This window comes from Homo sapiens, chromosome 10 (assembly GCF_000001405.40).
Source record: "Homo sapiens chromosome 10, GRCh38.p14 Primary Assembly".
Lineage (NCBI taxonomy): Eukaryota > Metazoa > Chordata > Mammalia > Primates > Hominidae > Homo > Homo sapiens.
In genome coordinates this window covers 78,013,875-78,032,433 of record NC_000010.11, presented here as the reverse complement: position 1 = coordinate 78,032,433, position 18,559 = coordinate 78,013,875, and the positions used below count along the sequence as shown (strand labels likewise).

General features: G+C 44.9%; 1 protein-coding gene across 1 annotated transcript in view, besides 2 other annotated features; it reads left to right on the top strand.

The window, feature by feature from the left end:
- Positions 2,750-2,999: an enhancer, noted in NCBI's record as "active region_3612". NCBI's record gives its function as "activates an Ori minimal core promoter by ATAC-STARR-seq in GM12878 lymphoblastoid cells {active_cell/tissue: GM12878}" and the evidence as "EXISTENCE:reporter gene assay evidence [ECO:0000049][PMID:35858748]".
- The window catches only part of POLR3A (RNA polymerase III subunit A), a 54,367-nt gene continuing 38,726 nt past the window's right edge, over positions 2,919-18,559 (top strand). Inside the window, exons 1-10 of the mRNA NM_007055.4 lie at positions 2,919-3,070; positions 6,205-6,340; positions 6,675-6,812; positions 7,292-7,463; positions 7,731-7,885; positions 10,050-10,289; positions 10,412-10,574; positions 10,752-10,888; positions 13,169-13,272; positions 14,718-14,859. Of these exons, the coding sequence (NP_008986.2) occupies positions 3,027-3,070; positions 6,205-6,340; positions 6,675-6,812; positions 7,292-7,463; positions 7,731-7,885; positions 10,050-10,289; positions 10,412-10,574; positions 10,752-10,888; positions 13,169-13,272; positions 14,718-14,859 (1,431 nt within the window). The 5' untranslated portion in view covers positions 2,919-3,026. The remainder of the gene's footprint in view (positions 3,071-6,204; positions 6,341-6,674; positions 6,813-7,291; positions 7,464-7,730; positions 7,886-10,049; positions 10,290-10,411; positions 10,575-10,751; positions 10,889-13,168; positions 13,273-14,717; positions 14,860-18,559) is intronic.
- Positions 6,442-7,641: an enhancer, noted in NCBI's record as "CDK7 strongly-dependent group 2 enhancer chr10:79784551-79785750 (GRCh37/hg19 assembly coordinates)". NCBI's record gives its function as "activates an origin of replication core promoter dependent on BRD2, BRD4, P300/CBP, MED14 and CDK7 cofactors, with strong dependence on CDK7, by STARR-seq in HCT116 cells {active_cell/tissue: HCT116}" and the evidence as "EXISTENCE:reporter gene assay evidence [ECO:0000049][PMID:35650434]".

Below are 18,559 nucleotides of genomic sequence, written 5' to 3'. Positions count from 1 at the left end.
AGCAATGGCTTCATCGCGGCTCACTGCAACCTCGACCTCCCGGATTCAAGCGATTCTCCTGGCTCAGCTTCCAGAGTAACTAAAATTACAGGCCTGCGCCACAATGCCCAGCTAATTTTTGTATTTTTAGGAGAGACGGGGTTTCACCATGTTGGCCAGGCTGGTCTCCAACTCCTGACCGCAAGTGATCCGCCCCCGCCTCGGCCTCTCAAAGTGCTGGGATTATAGGCGTGAGCCACCGTCCCCGGCCGACTATTTTTCTTTTTTTTCGTTTTTTGTTTTTTTTTTTTTTTTTGAGACCGCATCTCGCTCTGTCACCCAGGCTGGAGTGCAGTGGCGGGATCTCGGGTCACTGCAACATCCGCCTCCCAAGTTCAAGCGATTCTTCTGCCTCAGCCTCCCGAGGTGACCAACTATCCTTATTCTTAAGAAAATAGTCAGCCGGCTGGGCACGGTGGCTCATGCCTGTAATCCCAGCACTCTGGAAGGCCGAGGCAGGCAGATCACGAGGTCAGGAGTTCAAGACCAGCCTAGCCAATATGGTGAAACCCCGTCTCTACTAAAAATACAAAAATTAGCCAGGCATGGTGGTGCGCACCTGTAGTCCCAGCTACTCGGGAGGCTGAGGCAGAAGAATATTTATTGAGTGATTGTAATGTGCCTGTTACATTCTAATTACTTTTACCTTCATTTTGCTATTTAACCTTCCCATTGACTCTAAGAAATAGGATACATATTACTCACCCATGTTATAAATGGGGAAACTAACACACAATAAGATTAAATAACTTTCCCAAGTTCACACTTTATATACGTGTATATATACACGTATGTGTATATATACACATATATCTATATCTATATCTATATATATATATATATATATTTTTTTTTTTTTTTTTTTTGAGGCAGAGTCTTGCTCTGTTGCCCAGGCTGGAGTGCAGTGGCACAATCTTGGCTCACTGCAACCTCCGCCTCCCGGATTTAAGCGATTCTCCTGCCTTAGCCTCCTGAGTTGCTGGAATTACAGGAATGCGCCACCACACCAGGCTAATTTTTGTATTTTTTAGTAGAGACGGAGTTTCACCATATTGGTCAGGCTGGTCTCAAATTCCTGACCTCATGATCTGCCCACCTCGGCCTCCCAAAGTGCTGAGATTACAGGCGTGAGCCACCGCGCCCGGCCTGCACAACTTTATTTTTTATTTTTTTTTATTTTTGAGATGGAGTTTCACTCTTGTCGCCCAGGCTGCAGTGCAATGGCATGGTCTCGGCTCACTGCAACCTCCACCTCCCAGCTTCAAGCGATTCTCCTGCCTCAGCCTCCCGAGTACCTGGGATTACAGGCGCACACCACCAACCCCAGCTAATTTTTGTATTTTTAGTAGAGATGGGGTTTCACCATGTTGACCAGGCTGGTCCCGAACTCCTGACCTCAGGTGATCCGCCCACCTTGGCCTCCCAAAGTGCTAGGATTACAGGCGTGAGCCACCACGCCTGGCTGCCTACACAACTTTAAATGGTGAAAGCTAGACTCCCATGATGGCACTGTGATTTCATAACTTTTGCTCTTAACCTCTAGATAAGTCACACACGATCCAACCCTTGTTGGTATAATATTGTAAACATCAGAGCCGGGTGTGGTGGCTCACACCTGTAATCCTATCACTTTGGGAGACTGAGGCGGGCGGATCACGAGGTCAGGGATTCGAGACCAGCCTGGCCAACATAGTAAAACCCCGTCTCTACTAAAAATACAAAAATTAGCTGGGCGTGGTGGCGGGCGCTTGTAGTCCCAGCTACTCGGGAGGCTGAGCCAGGAGAATCGCTTGAACCCGGGAGGCGGAGGTTGCGGTGAGCCGAGATTTCGCCACTGCACTCCAGTCTAGGCGACAGAGCGAGACTCCGTCTCAAAAAAAAAAAAAAAAAAAAAACAAAAAAAACCCATAATGTTGACTATATATATATATATATATATATATATATAGTCAACATTATTTCATGATTAAGTGATGGAGTACCGAAATGAGTTAGAAAAACCTGATATGCCTCGTTTGTCTGTGACATTGTGTTTTGCTAGTGAGGATCCATGGCGTCTGAAAATGAGATAGCGTCCCTTCTTAAAAATTGAAAGTTGTTAAACACTTTTGTTAAGTTCTGTTTTGAGTTTCTCACAAATAATGAGGACTTAGTTCTAATTCTAAGCGCTAAGCCCTGTGGTGATGTGATTTCCTTGCTAGGCTCATGCACTAATATATCACACTAGGATCACCTCCCACAAGTTCTCACAGACTGTAGACAACTTATTTCAAGACATGAATGATCTTTACTTTCCATTCTCCCTTTTCTTCTGTAGATTACCATGGCTGTTTTCACTCTAACAGATTTTCAACTGTTTTTGTAATCAATAATGTAAGTTTAATTCTTCCCCCCTCCCTCCAAATAACTTCATGAACTGGAGGCACATGTGCGCCCATATTTTCCGCTCTGTTTTCCTTTGTTGGTCCTCCACAGATAGTGCCCTCTGTTGGATGGGCCGGTTCATTTTAGCTTCCACCTTCCCTTAAAACAATTAGAAGCTCTTAATTTAGATGGTACTGATGTTAATGATGATGATTTTCCATTTTATGCAAGTTTTGGCCCTCTGCTTGTCTAAAAGCCTTGAGGCAAAGAGTTATATGCAGTTTCTCTGCGGGTGTCTGATTACGTGGAGAAATTGACCAGAAATGGGATTTTTAAAATACAGCACACGCCTCGGTGCGGCTTCCAGTAAGCGCCACCAGGTGACGGTGCGGGGAAAGGGAAAAAAAAAAAAAAAAAAGGCATGCCGGAAGTCTCTCTTGACAGACAGACGCGCGGGCGAGTAGCGGAAGAGGAAGCGGACACGTGGGACACTCTACGGTGGCCGAGAGGATGCCGCAGATGTGTTAGCGGCGAGTCCAGAAGCAGCCCCAGGAGGTGCTGGGGGCATCGTTTCTCTAATCTGGCCTCCCGAGTGCCAAGGAGGCGTCCCGGCAGCGGTCATCATGGTGAAGGAGCAGTTCCGGGAGACGGATGTGGCCAAGAAAATGTAAGACGGAGTAAGAGTGGCCAAAGGGCTGAGAAATAGGGCAAGGGGTCCGAGGTCAGCGGTCCCGGGTCTTGCAGGGTCAGAGATGGGGTGCAATGGGAAGGGGAGGGCCAGTAGTCCATAGGTGTGACCAGCGCCCAGAACTACCAGCGTTGGTCAAAGAGCATTGGTCAGGCTGAGGGGATTTCAGCACCTCGAGAGGTCCCTGGACTTGGGCGGAGAAGTCGGAGTGGCCTGAGCCTTAATGATTTGTGCACCCTGGGCCAAAGCTCGCATTCTCCTGAAGTCATACAATGATCCCTGTTCTTCAGCGAACTATCCCCTGCTGCAGCGAGGGGAGCAATCTGGGGCGGGGACTGTCTCTAATTCTGTCAGCCGCAGAGCGTCTGACACGGAGGCAGTAGTTGCTTACCAAAAGGATGGGGTTGCCCACTAGAAAGCTGTACCACAGGCCGACGGATGGCAGTGTCAGAAATAAAGCTGCTATCCGGACTTTTGCCTTCAGAAATACGTTATTAGGCGGTGGCTCCTTCTTAGAGTTCTCGGTAAGAAAGTGAATCCAGCCGGGCGCGGTGGCTTACTCCTGTAATCCCAGCACTTTAGGAGGCCGAAGCGGGTGAATCTCCTGAGCTCAGGAGTTTGAGACTAGCCTGGGCAACGTGGCGAAACCCCGTCTCTATCAAAAATACAAAAATTAGCAGGCGTGGTGGCGCGCCCTTGTGGTCCCAGCTACTCGGGAGGCTGAGGCCGAAAAATCACTTGAGCCTGGGAGGCAGAGGTTGCAGTGGGCAACCTCCTGCATTCCACCCTGAGTGACAGAGTGAGACGGTGTCTCAAAAAAAAAAGTGAATTCATCATTCTTACAGCAGACACTGAGGAGGATACTGCGCGTTATTCCCAGTGTTGGACGTTAAAGATACGGTCTGAATAAAACTTTTACTGCCTAATCTAGTTGGAGAAGGTACACAAGTCAACACTGGGTACGACAAGTGCAATGACAAGGGTAGGTCCAGGGGGTTTTGAGAGCACATAATGGGTCCAGGCAAAAGAAAGCAGACCAAACTGCTTTTTTCAAGGAGCAGACCTGAGGGAGAGAACACAGGTGATCAGAAGGAAGCAGAAGACTTGAAGCTGTGTTAAGAAGTCATCTTGTAGGCAGTGAGGAACCTTTGAAGGATTTTCAACAGGAGAGTATCTTGATAAGAGTTCTCCTTCTGGAAAATCTCTTGATTCATGGTGGAAAGAATTAGAGGTCGAGAGACCTTGAGACGGATATACAGAATGCCTTGCTTGGGCAGCTGTGTGGATGGTTGCCATTCACTAGAACAGGTGTCTTACCTAGGTGAATGCAGCATTCTCCCATGTGGTAGCTCTACATCGACACTGGCCCTTCACACCCACCTGTACACCTGCGCCCAGTCAGATATAATACATTCTCACAAAACAGAGAAAGTGCTTCTGTCAAAGTGCAAATTAAGGGTATTGTCAATTAAAATCCTCTAGCAGAGGCCAGGAGTGGTGGCTCACGTCTGTAATCCCAGCACTTTGGGAGGCCATGGCAGGCAGATCATGAGGTCAGAAGTTCAAGACCAGACTGGCCAATATGGTAAAACCTCATCTCTACTAAAAATACAAAAATTAGCTGGGTGCGGTGGCGCATGCCTGTATGCCTGTAACCCCAGCTACTTGGGAGTCTGAGGCAGGAGAATCGCTTGAACCCAGGAGGCAGAGGTTGCAGTGAGCTGAGATCGCACCACTGCACTCCAGCCTGGGTGACAGAGCAAGACTCTGTCTCAGGGAAAAAAAAAAATCCTCTAGCAGCTTTCCATTGTGTGGGCCATCACGCCTAGCAAATTTTTTGTATTTTTAGTAGAGACAGGGTTTCACCATGTTAGCCAGGATGGTCTCAATCTCCTTGCCTCGTGATCCACCCACCTTGGCCTCCCAAAGTGCTGGGATTACAGGCATGAGCCACCGCACCCGGCTGCATTTATGTTATTTAAATAAATTCCCTACCAAAGTTCCCAAGCCCTCATGCTTTAGCTCCTGCATGCTTCACTGACTTTATCTTGTACTATTAGCTTTCTATGCTCCAGTATATACTGATTTCATTTGGTTCCTTGAAAATGCCAAGCTTGTGCCAGTCCCAGGACCCTGGCCCTAGTCATTCTCTCCACTTCAGATGCTCTTCCTTCTGATTGTCAGTTTTACAGTGAGGCTTTCTGACCATGCAACGTAAAGTAATTCCTCAGACTCCACTGCTTACATCACTTCTGCATCTGTTCACATTTGTATATTCGTTTGTTTGTGGTCTGTCTTTCCCACCCTGACCTGTGAGCTCTTTGTTGGCAAGGACCTTGTCTGTCTTAGCTAATCTGTATCCTCAGCCTGTAGGATGGTGCCTGGCACATAGGAAATAGTCAATTTGTTGGAAGAATGAATGAAGGGACAGACATGGGAGAAAAAGTATTGAGGTCTGTTTTCAATGTGTGGGGTTTGAAGTGCCTATGAGATATCTAGGTGGAACTGTCCAGGAGGAGGTGTCTATACAGATGTCCAGTTGGGTAGCAGTAGCTGGCCTATAGAGATAGATTTGATAGACATCAACATGTATGTGAGTGGCATGATCACTCAGGAGAATGTGTAGGATGAGAAGATAAGAGGATGAAGGTTGTAATGCTAGGTGGTACAGTGCACCAATATTTAAGGGATAGCAGTAGAAGAAAAGACCTCAAAAGAGACTGTACAAGGAGCAGCCAGAGAAGGGAAGAAGAAAACTCAGAGTGTATGGTGTCACCAAAGCCGAGAGAAAAGCACTTCAGGATTGGGCAGGGTGCTGCCAGTGCTGCAGAGGTAAAATGAGGAAGTTCTTATTGGATTCAGCAGCAGGCAGGTTGTCTAGGTGGCCTTGGTGAGCACTGTTCCTTTGATGGTGAGAGTAGAAACTGGATTCCAGTAAGATGAAGGGATGTTTGTGAAGGAAAAATGAGAGAGGGTTAAATATATTTAATACTGGTAGGAAAAGCCAGTGGAGACAGTTGGAAGGATAGGTTGGTTATGGTGGGCTATGTATGTAATAGACATTTTTGGTCACAGATTTTGCTGTAATTTTCACCTTTTTCTTCCCATTCCAGAAGCCACATCTGTTTTGGAATGAAGTCACCTGAGGAGATGCGCCAGCAGGCGCACATCCAAGTTGTGAGTAAGAACCTGTACAGCCAGGACAACCAACATGCCCCCTTGCTATATGGGGTGCTCGACCATAGGATGGTAAGGCCCCCTCACCCCTCCTGGTAACTGTGTCTTGCCCTGCTGATAAAACTGGTGACTTACCAGATTGAAAGGAGCAGGGGCTTCCTTCCATCTCCTCAATTCCCCCCTGCACATATTAGACTAGGTCAAGAACTCCGGCCTTTAGTCAGCAACCTGATTCGATTCTGAGTCATGAAAATTAGAAAAGAAAGAAAAACAGTAGGAAGTGATCTCAGAAAGGAAATTTAAGAAGCAAAAGAAATGATTCTGTGTCACCAGCCAGGCATGATGGCTGGGCACTCTTTCCCGTCCAGCAGTCTGTGTTGATCATTGGGTGTGCTTTTTTTCAAAGGGTACGAGTGAGAAGGATCGTCCATGTGAAACCTGTGGGAAAAACTTGGCTGACTGTCTAGGCCACTATGGGTATATCGACCTGGAGTTGCCGTGTTTTCATGTAGGGTACTTCAGAGCAGTCATAGGCATCTTACAGGTAAGCACACAGGTGCTGATTTCCAAGACATAAATTCTGGAGTGATTGGTCAGGGATGCTGGAATGAACTTAGGAACTGTGAGTGGTGGGGGATACATCTAGGGGACTCTTTTATACTAAGTACATAATATTTTCATCTCACACTACGTTAAATCACTCAAGAATTATTTATTTTGTTTATTTACCTTGAGAAGATGGTAGATACGTGTTCTTAAAAAAATAACAATAGTAGTAATTCAAACAATACAGAATAGCACAAAGAAAAAGATAAAGGTAACAAAGTCTGCCTACTGGCTGTGAGTACTGCTAATCTAGTGAACACAGGCTTCCTCTCTGCATATCCATAGTATAGAGCCATTTGCAGATCTGTGTATATGGTCACGTGGTTAAGGGTACAAAACAGGGCGATGGCATTTTTAAAAGAAAATAATTTTTCATTCTCACTTATGCTTTTATCTGTCTTGCTTAATTTGAAAAAGATGATCTGCAAAACCTGCTGCCACATCATGCTGTCCCAAGAGGAGAAGAAGCAGTTTCTGGACTATCTAAAGAGGCCCGGCCTGACCTACCTTCAGAAGCGAGGACTGAAAAAGAAAATCTCTGACAAGTGCCGGAAGAAAAACATCTGCCATCACTGTGGCGCTTTTAATGGTGAGTGGAATGCACAGAAGGCTAAGCAATAGCCCTTTTCACTCACTGTCTTCTGTTTAGTTTATTAGGTTTACATAATGTTCGGGAGTCAGCTTTTCTCCTTATAAATTAGGCTTAAGAGCCCAACAACTGATGTCCTATTGGGAAACGGACCTCTCATCTTTCATTGCTATAGTAGTTTCAGTAATTTCATTAACCATACTACAATCTCTGGCCAATCTGAGAACATAATTTTTTATTTCTTGGTAAATAAACTAACCCTTATAGGTACCGTAAAGAAGTGTGGACTGCTGAAAATAATTCATGAGAAATACAAGACCAACAAAAAAGTGGTGGATCCCATTGTATCAAATTTCCTTCAGTCTTTTGAAACAGCCATTGAACATAATAAAGAAGTGGAGCCTCTGCTGGGAAGGGCACAGGTGAGCCTGAGAATGCACGCCTGCCTTCCGCCTGCCTCCCGCCTGCCTCTTCCGCACGTCACATGCACACTCTCTCCCCCAACTCCGCCCCACCCCTAGACACCCACTTTCTTCCAAAATGAGAGGTCCAGTTAGGTTCGACAGCTCTCCGATAATTCCTTTTTTTTTTTTTTTTTTTGAGATGGAAGACAGAGTCTCGCTCTTTCACCCTGGCTGGAGTGAGTGGTGCAAATCTTGGTTCACTGCAACCTGTGCATCCCAGGTTAAAACGATTCTTCTGCTTCAGCCTCCCAAGTAGCTGGGATTACAGGCATGTGCCACCATGCCCACCTAATTTTTATATTTTTAGTAGAGACAGGGTTTCCCCATATTGGCCAGGCCAGTCTTGAACTCCTGACCACAGGTGATCCAGTCGCCTCAGCCTCCCAAAGTGCTAAGATTACAGGTATGAGCCACCACACCCGGCCAGCTCTCCAGTAATTCTTATTTGACCGTAACAGTGTTTATCTGGCACTAAGGCTAATGTGGACTGGCCTTGTAACACCAGTTGTTTTTGTTTTTGCTTTTGTTTTTAATTGAGATGGGGTCTTGCTGTGTTGCCCAGTCTGGTCTCAAACTCCTGAGCCCAAGAGATCCTCTCACCTCAGCCTTCCAAAGTGCTGGGATTACAGGCATAGGTCACCATTCCTGGCCCCTTGTTTGTGTTTTTACCTCAGTTCTTTTTTTTTATTATTATTTTATATATTTGTTTATTTATTTATTTTAATTTTTGAGGCAGGGTCTCTCTCTGTCTCCCAGGCTGGAGTGCAGTGGTATGATCGAGGCTCATTGCAGCCCCGACCTCCTAGGCTCAAGTGATCCTTGCATGTCAGCCTCCCAAGTAGCTGGGACTACAGGCACACACCACCACCCCCAGCAACAATTTTTTAATTTGTTGTAGAGACAAGGTCTTGCTATGTTGCCCAGGCTTTGAACTCCTGGGTTCAAGCAATCCTCCTGCGTCAGCCTCCAAAGTACTGGGATTACAGGTGTCAGCCACTGCATCCTGGCTTACCTTAGTTCTTTTTTAACAGTAACACTTTTTTTTTTTAGAGACAGAGTTGCTCAGTCACCCAGGCTGGAGTGCGGTTGCACGATCTAGGCTCACTGCAACCTCCACCTCCCACGTTCAAGTGATTCTTTTGCCTCAGCCTCCCGAGTTGCTGGGACTACAAGTGCCCGCCACCATGCCCGGCTAATTTTTGTACTTTTGTAGAGACAGGGTTTTACTATGTTGACCAGGCTGGTCTTGAACTCCTGACCTCAGGTGACCCACCCGCCTCAGCCCCTCTAAGTGCTGGGATTATAGACATGAGCCACCATGCCCAGCCAGTAACACTTTTTTTTTTTTTAGATGGAATTTCACTCTTACTGCTTAGGCTGGAGTGCAATGGCATGATATCGGCTCACGGCAACCTCTGCCTCCCAGGTTCAAGTGATTCTCCTGCCTCAGCCTCCCAAGTATCTGGGATTACAGGCGTGTGCCACCATGCCCAGCTAATTTTTGTATTTTTAGTAGAGACGAGGTTTCGCCATGTTTGTCAGGCTGGTCTCGAACTCCTGACCTCAGGTAATCTACCTACCTCGGCCTTCCAAAGTGCTGAGATTACAGGCATGAGCCACTACGCCCAGCCTCCAGCTACCAATATTTTATGGACCTTTTTTATGTCAATTGCTGTGTTTGTCTAGTATCTTTTTTTCCCCCCAATGGCTTGCTGCTTTTCCACATAGGGATATACCGTGATTTTATTTAGCCAATAAACTGTCAGGCTCTTTCCAACTTTTCACTGTTAAGAACAGCTTTTATTACCTTCCTATTCTGTCACACGGATAAAAAATAACAAAAAACAGCTTTTGTGAACATTCTTGTAGCTAAATCTTTGTGTTCATTTCTGAAGTTACACCCCTTGGAATAATGAGAAGTGGAATTTTTGGCTTGAAAAATTGGAATAAAAGACATACACAATTTTAAGGCTCTTGCAGCATAGCGTATCATCCATAGAAATCTCTGTTGTCACTTATCCTTAGTGACAGATAGGTTAGAAAACATAGTGAAGGAAAACCTTGCCCAAGCTATGGAAAACTAACATAGTATCTCCATTTCTGCCTTTCTTCGTTTCCATAGGAAAACTTGAATCCCTTAGTAGTTCTGAATTTATTTAAACGAATCCCAGCTGAAGATGTTCCTCTACTTCTGATGAACCCAGAAGCCGGAAAGCCGTCTGATTTGATTCTCACACGACTTTTGGTGCCTCCTTTGTGTATCAGACCCTCCGTTGTGAGTGATTTGAAGTCTGGCACCAATGAAGATGATCTGACAATGAAACTGACAGAAATCATTTTCCTAAACGATGTTATTAAAAAGGTCAGTGCCTCCCATTTCCTTGTAAGTTTCATAGTATATCTATCCAAAAACTTCTGGTCAAGAAAATGTGAGAAAAATCAAACTGACCAGGTTTGTTTCTGTTTGGGCTGTGCTGGTTTTAGCATCGGATCTCAGGAGCCAAGACCCAGATGATCATGGAGGACTGGGATTTCCTGCAGCTGCAGTGTGCCCTCTACATTAACAGTGAGCTCTCGGGCATTCCCCTCAACATGGCACCCAAGAAGTGGACCAGAGGCTTCGTCCAACGCCTGAAGGGAAAACAGGGTAGGTTTCCCACAAGATGTGCAGAAGCCAGCCCACTCTCTTTGGTTCCTTTTTCAGGAGTGTCTGTCCAGCTTCTCTGATTGGAGGTCACAGGCTTTCCTCAGTCTCTCCGTTCTTATTGTTCCCATGAGCACATGGTATGCCATGGGGACCTATGACATGTTTTTGGCTATTTAGGTCGATTTAGAGGAAATCTCTCAGGAAAGAGAGTGGATTTTTCTGGCAGAACAGTCATCTCGCCCGACCCCAACCTCCGGATTGATGAGGTAGCTGTGCCAGTTCATGTGGCCAAAATTCTAACTTTTCCTGAGAAGGTAAGTGACCACTCAGCTGCTCAATTCTTTGTTTTAAATTCAGTCTTTTACGTTATATTTTGGTATTGCAAACAACAGGCAGTAGAAAGTCCCCAGTAACCCACTCAACCCACAGTTTGGTTTATATGAGTGTATGTGTCTTCCCAGTTTGCTTTATACATAGTTGGTGGTATATATTCTGTAAACCATTTGCAGCCACAGTTGTTTCTAGTTTCATGTGTATTTACTCATATATATGCTATACTTTTTTGCAACTTTTTTTCCAATTAATAACATCTTGACCGAGCATGGTGGCTAATGCCTGTAATCCCAATACTTAGGGAGGCCAAGGCAGGTGGATCATCCGAGCCCGGGAGTTCAAGACCAACCTGGGCAACACAGTAAAAACCTTGTCTCTACCAAAAATACAAAAAATTAGCCAGGAGTGGTGGCAGGCGCCTGTGGTCCCAGCTACTGGGGAGACTGAGGTGGAAGGATTGCTTGAGCATGGAAGGTGGAGGTTGTGAGCCAAGATCACGTCAATGCACTCTAGCCTGGGTGAGAGTGAGACCATCTTTAAGAAAAAAAAGTAGACACTTTTCTATGTTGGTTCATGCCTCATATTTTAAACTAACTAAATGGTAAACATTATCCATAGTTAATTTTCTTGGGATAGATTTTTTATTTTTAAAACTTTACAGTCACTGAGTCAAAGCATTTGAACATTTTAAGGCTATTGCTACATACCCAGAAAGGCTTTTATTTTATTTTTTGTTTTTGAGGTGGAGTCTCGCTCTGTCGCCCAGGCTGGAGTGCAGTGGCGTGATCTCTGCTTACGGCAAGCTCCACCTCCCAGGTTCACGCCATTCTCCTGCCTCAGCCTCCCGAGTAGCTGGGACTACAGGCGCCCATCACCATGCGCAGCTAATTTTCTGTATTTTTAGTAGAGACGGAGTTTCACCATGTTGGCCAGGATCGTCTCGATCTCCTGACCTCGTGATCCGCCCGCCTTGGCCTCCCAAAGTGCTGGGATTACAGGTATGAGCCACCGCATCCGGCCTGGTTTTTTTTTTTTAAGAGACAGACTCTCGCCCTGTCACCCAGGCCGAAGTGCAGTGGTGTGCTCATGGCTCACTGTAACCTCAAACTCCTGGGCTCAAGCCATTCTTATGCCTCAGCCTCCCGAGTAGCTAGGACTACACATGCACACCACTATGCCTAACTAATTTTTTAAAAAAATTTTTTAGAGATGGGATTCTCAGTATGTTGCCCAGGCTGGTCTTGAACTCCTGGCCTCAAGTGATCATCCCACCTTAGCCTCCCAAGTCACTGAAAGTCACTGAGATTACAGGGCCCTGTGCCCAGCTAGCACTTTTTTTTTTTTTTTTTTTTTGAGACTGAGTCTCACTCTATTGCCCAGGCTAGAGTGCAGTGACACAATCTCAGCTCACTGCAACCTCCACCTCCTGGGTTCAAGTGATTGTCCTGCCTCAGCCTCCTGAGTAGCTAGGATTACAGGCACCCACCACCACACCCAGCTAATTTTTATATTCTTAGTAGGGACGGGGTTTCACCACGTTGGCCAGGCTGGTCTTGAATTCCTGACCTCAAGTGATCCACCCACCTCGGCCTCCCAAAGTGCTGGGATTACAGGCGTGAGCTACCATGCCCAGCCCATACTTTTTTTTTTTTTTTTAAATTGAGGTCTAGGTAACTGCAGGGCCTGCTAACGAGAATATTGATTAGCTTTACCTATGAGACTCACAGTTAGCCCAGATCATAGATGTTCCTGGTCAGCTTGTGTTGTGTGTCCTCAGTTGAGTTACTAATGATCCAAGAGTTAACTTCTCCAAAATGGTGTTCCACAAGACAGTTGTTTAAGAGGTTCCAGAACACATTCAATGCAGACCAGGGCTTGTGGTGCTGGTGTCACAACTTTTAAACCTTACAAGCCCCCAGTAAGTTATTGCAGATCAAGTCGCCACCTGTTTCTAGGATCACAGAAGGTTCCTATAGATCAGTCTAGCCTACCCGTTTTACCAGTGAGGAAACCAAGCACCAGGAAAGGAATTGGCCATGTCACTCAGTGAGCAAACAGCTGAGTTGACACTGGAAGCTGGAAGCTTGTTTGCCAGTCTGTTGTTCACATTATACTCAAGACCATAGGCAGCAGGCTGCCCAGGATGCCTCTCTTTCTCCTAGAATCTGAACAAGGAAAGTAAAGATTAAGACGCATTTCAGTATCATTTGTTAGTTTCTAGTTACCTGGGAGTAACTTATTGTGGTTTTTTTGTACTGCAGGTAAACAAAGCAAACATCAATTTCTTGAGGAAACTGGTTCAAAACGGCCCTGAGGTTCACCCAGGAGCAAACTTCATTCAGCAGAGACATACGCAGATGAAAAGGTAATCTTTTCCCAATCTAGTTGGATTTAACTACTTTCTCATGGCAAAGCTCACTGTGGTCATACTCAGCCACAGAATGCAATCCAGAAATACAGTTTGCGTGACATTTTGGCATGTGGAAAATATCTGTTTAAATTTCCGTGAGCCAAGGTATGTCATTTGCTCTGTTCAGTCATTGAATATACATGAAGTGCTCCTTTGTTCTCAGGCTTGTAATGTTATTGGATCCAGGAGGACAAAATACCATGGATACTAAAGTCTAAAGAGGATCATTATTGCTGGGCTTGGTGGCTCACACCTTTAATCCCAGCACTTTGTGAGGCCAAGGTGGGCAAATCACTTGAGGCCAGGAGTTCAAGACCAGCCTGGCCAATATGGCAAAGAAACCCCTTTTCTACTAAAAATACAAAAATTAGCTGGGCACGGTAGCACACGTATGTAGTCCCAGCTACTCAGAAGCCTGAGACACAAAAATCACTTGAACCCAGGAGGCAGAGGTTGCAGTGAGCTGAGATCACACCACTGCACTCCAGCCTGGGCGACAGAGCAAGACTCTGTCTCAGAAATACAATAAATATATAAAGTGGATCATTGCCTGTGTCACCTGGGCTCTCAGGGCTTTTAGCATTTCTAAAATTAGGATATGTCTTTTTTTTTTTTTTCAAGACAGAGTCTTGCTGTGTTACCCAGGCTGGAGAGTAGTGGCACGATCTTGACTCACTGCAACCTCCACCTCCCAGGTTCAAGCAAGTTTCCTGCCTCAGTCACCCGAGTAGCTGGGATTACAGGCACCCGCCACCACACCTGACTAATTTTTGTATTTTTAGTAGCGACGGGTTTTCACCATGTTGACCAGGCTGGTTTCGAACTCCTGACCTGGTGATCCAGCTGCCTCAGCCTCCCAAAGTGCTAGGATTACAGCCATGAGCCACCACATCCGACTGGATATATCTTAAGATCAATTTATCATGGTTTTTTTTTTTTTTTTTTTGATGTCTCAGTCTGTCACTCAGGCTGGAGCGCAATGGCACAATCATGGCTCACTGCAGTCTCCACCTCCTCTGCTCAGGTGATCCTCCCACCTTAGGCTCCAAAGTAGATGGGATTAAAGGCACACACCCCACCACGTTTGGCTAATTTTTGTATTTTTTGTAGAGACAAGGTCTCACCATGTTGCCCAGTCTGTTCTCAATCTCCTGGGCTCAAGCAGTCCGCCCATCTCAGCCTCCCAAAGTGCTGAGATTACAAGAGTGAGTCACCTCGCCCACCCTGTCATAGTTTAATAGGGAGCTTTTTTCTTGGCACATAAAACTATATGACATTAAAATGGAGGCATCTTAGATTTGATGAAATAATATATTAAAGATTGAATCCTGATCTGAAGAGGGAGAAACTTGGTGAGAGAACTTTGCTTTCACAGATCATGTTTATTGTTGCACATTCAGGTTTTTGAAATACGGAAATCGAGAAAAGATGGCTCAAGAGCTCAAGTATGGTGACATCGTAGAGAGACACCTCATCGATGGAGATGTGGTGCTGTTCAATCGGCAGCCCTCGCTGCACAAATTGAGCATTATGGCTCATCTGGTGAGTAGCACTGCTTTTTAAATTTTCCATCACGTAGAAATTTGCCATGACTGTTCAGTGCTAAACAGTGGACTTCTAAAATTAAAATTGCCTGTTATCTCAAGTTTTCATAACTTTTTTTTTTTTTTGAGACAGGCTCTTGCTCTGTCACCCAGGTTGGAGTGCAGTGACACAATCACAGCTCACTGCAACCTGGACCTCCCAGGCCCAAGCAAGCCTCCCACCTCAGCCCCCAAAGTAGCTGGGACCACGGACATGTGCCACCAAATCTGGCTAATTTGGGGTTTTTTTGTTTTTTGTTTTTGGTTTTTGGTTGAGACGGGGGTCTCACTATATTGCCCAAGCTAGTCTGGAACTCTTGGGCTCAAGCGATCCTCCTTCAGCCTCCCAAAGTTCTGGGATTATAGGCGTGAGTAGCCCCTACAGCTGGCCCAACCTTTCATAACTATTGGTCTCCCTCTTCTCTCACATTTTAGTTTGAGTGAAACTTTTTAATTTCAAGCTTCCTTTTAGTAAGCTTTAATATTTTTTAATATTAAATTTTTAATATTTGCAACGTAATATTCATACAAAACACTAAGAGAGGATTTAATTGAAAGTGACTAGCATGGTTTCACAAAAACATATACACGTATATGTGTTGTGTGCACAAACTTACATAAAATAGGTATGGCAGAAAATGGATTTTTTTTTTTTTTTTTTGGAGACAGTCTCACTCTGTTACCCAGGCTGGAGTGCAGTGGCACAGTCTGGCTCATTGCAGCTTTGACCGCCTCGGCTCAAGCGATCCTCCCACCTCAGCCTACCGTAGCTAGGACTACAGGCATGTGCCATGATGGCCAGCTTTTTTTTTTTTTTTTTGAGACAGAGTCTCACTCTATTGCCCAGGCTGGTGTGCAGTGTCGCAGTCTTGGCTCACAGCAGCCTCTGCCTCCCAGGTTCAAGTGAGTCTCCTGCCTTAGCCTCTCAAGTAGCTGGAGTTACAGGTGCATGCCACCACGCCCAGCTAATGTTTGTATTTTTAGTTGAGGCAGGATTTCACCATGTTGGCCTGGCTGGTCTCAAACTCCTGACCTCAGGTGATTCACCCACCTTGGCCTCCCAAAGTGCTGGGATTACAGACATGAGCCACTGTGCCCACCCTTTTTTTTTTTTTTTTTTTTTAATAAGTGGAGCTGAGGTCTTGGTGTATTGCCCAGATGGGTCGCAATCTCCTGTGCTCAATGGATCCTCCCACCTTAGCCTCCCAGAGTGCTGGGATTATAGGTATGACCCACTGTGCCTAGCCAGAAAATTGACTTTTGATTTAACTTTGCATATTAACTAAGCAACTAAAATGCTTAAAAGATTTTTTCTTTGCAGTAATCCTCCAACTAAGACCTTAAACCATATTTTTTTGGTGATTTAGTTTTGCAACAGCAGCAGTTCCTTTTTCTGGAGATTTAAAATGGAAATGAAATACAGCTTTAATTTGTTCAATATTCATAGATTCTCCTATCTGTAAAGCTGTTAATCCATGAGCCTTTGCAAACAGTGTTTAAGCAGCCTCTTATGGTAATATTTTTTCATAGATTCATTTTGGGGTCGTCTGAACACATTATATCAGTCATTTACATAATAGTAGAAATAACTAAGAAGTAGTTTGTGATTATGGGATTATGATTGTGAGAATGTAGAGGGTTAACTAAAGCCTTCTCTTTCTGGAATGTTTTGCTTGGCTTTGGAACATTACAAAATATAATTATTAGGTTTTTTTGACTGGCAATGGCACACACCTATAGCCCCAGCTACTCAGGAGGCGGAGGCAGAAGGATCACGTGGGCCTGGGAGTTCAAGGCTACAGTGTGCTATATCACGCCTATAAATAGCCACTGCACTCCAGCCTAGACAACGTAATGAGACCCTGTCTCTAAAAAAAGAAGTAGAAATTTTTTTTGTTTGAAAATTTTGAGGCCAGGTGTGATGGCTCATGCCTGTAATCCCAGCACTCTGGGAGGCCAAGGTGTATCACTTGAGGTCAGGAGTTCGAGACCAGCCTGGACAGCATAATGAAACCCCATCTTTACTAAAATACAAAAAATTAGCCGGGTGTGGTGGCACGTGCCTGTAATCCCAGCTACTTGGGAGGCTGAGGCAGGAGAATTGCTTGAACCCAGGAGGCAGAGGTTGCAGTGAGCCGAGATTGCGCCACTGCACTCCAGCCTAGGCAGCAGAATGAAGCTCCGTCTCAAAAAAAGAAAAAGAAAATTTTCAAATGTACACTAAAGTAGAAAGAATGGTCTAATGAACTTACATATTCCCATCCTCTATATGCAATAATTTTCAAGGTTTAGCCACACTTGTTTTATCTTTCCCATTTTTCTTCGATGAACCCATATCTGTGTCATTTTTCAATATGTATCCAGTTTACATTTGTAAGAAAAACTTACATAACCACAGTGCTGTAATCATACCTAACAAAATTAACAGTCATCTCTTGGCATTCCCAGGTCCATACCTAGTTCATATTCAGATTTCCCCATTTGTCTCAAAATTGTCTTTTTGTGGTTTGTTTGAGTCAAGATGCAAGCAATGAATTCATTCTAATTAATTCATTTGTTATCATTGCCTGTGTTATTTTATTGGGCTGCAAAATGGAACCCCACTTTTTGAATCTATCGTTCCTTTAACATTTATTACCTACAATTCTTATAATGGAAAATACCCGCTTGTTAATTAGGTCTGTTTGCTTGCCCAGAGGTGCAGCTCATAAAGCAAAGGCTGTGTAAATGGTTAAGTCTTTTTCCTTTATTGTGATTTTGGGAAGTAAGAACTTAGTGCTCTCCTGTGTTCGTGTGCTTAGGAAAAAAAATTTTTTTTTTTTTAAAGAAAGGGCCAGGTGCGGTGGCTCAAGCCTGTAATGCCAGCACTTTGGGAGGCCAAGGTGGGCGGATCATGAGGTCAGGAGTTCTAGACCAATGGTGAAACCTCATCTCTACTAAAATATAAAAATTAGCCTGGTGTGGCAGTAAACGCCTGTAGTCCCAGCTACTCAGGAGGCTGAGGCAGGAGAATTGCTTGAACCCGGGAGACAGAGGTTGCAGTGAGCCGAGATTGCACCATTGCACTCCAGCCAGGACAACAGAGTGAGACTACGTCTCAAAAAAAAAGGGGGTTAGTGCTCAGTAACTTCCAACTAGATTGATTGGGGTTTTTTGTTTGTTTTGACTTTCTGTTTTTTCAGTGTCATTATAAACACATGGGTTTTTATTTAGTTGGTTTATTTTAATCAACTTCTGCTGTTAATCTTTTTGATACTTGAAACCATGACATCCTTGGCCAGTGGGAGCCTTCACACTGGCGCCTTTGTTGAAATTCACTGCTTTGGTTCAATCTAATAAAGCTTCTCGAATGAGTCTTTTTTTTTTTTTCTTTTTTTGAGATGGAGTCTCGCTCTATCACCCAGGCTGGGGTGCAATGGCGCGATCTTGGCTCACTGCAACCTCCACCTCCTGGGTTCAAGCGATTCTCCTGCCTCAGCCTCCCAAGTTACTGGGATTATAGGCATGTGTTACCACACCTGGCTAATTTTTGTATTTTTAGTAGAGATGGGGTTTCACCATGTTGGCCAGACTGGGAATGAGTCCTAAATGATATATATCACTTGACAGAACATACTGGAAATCTACTTTCTTAAGCCAGTGCCCAGTATTCCAGGAAG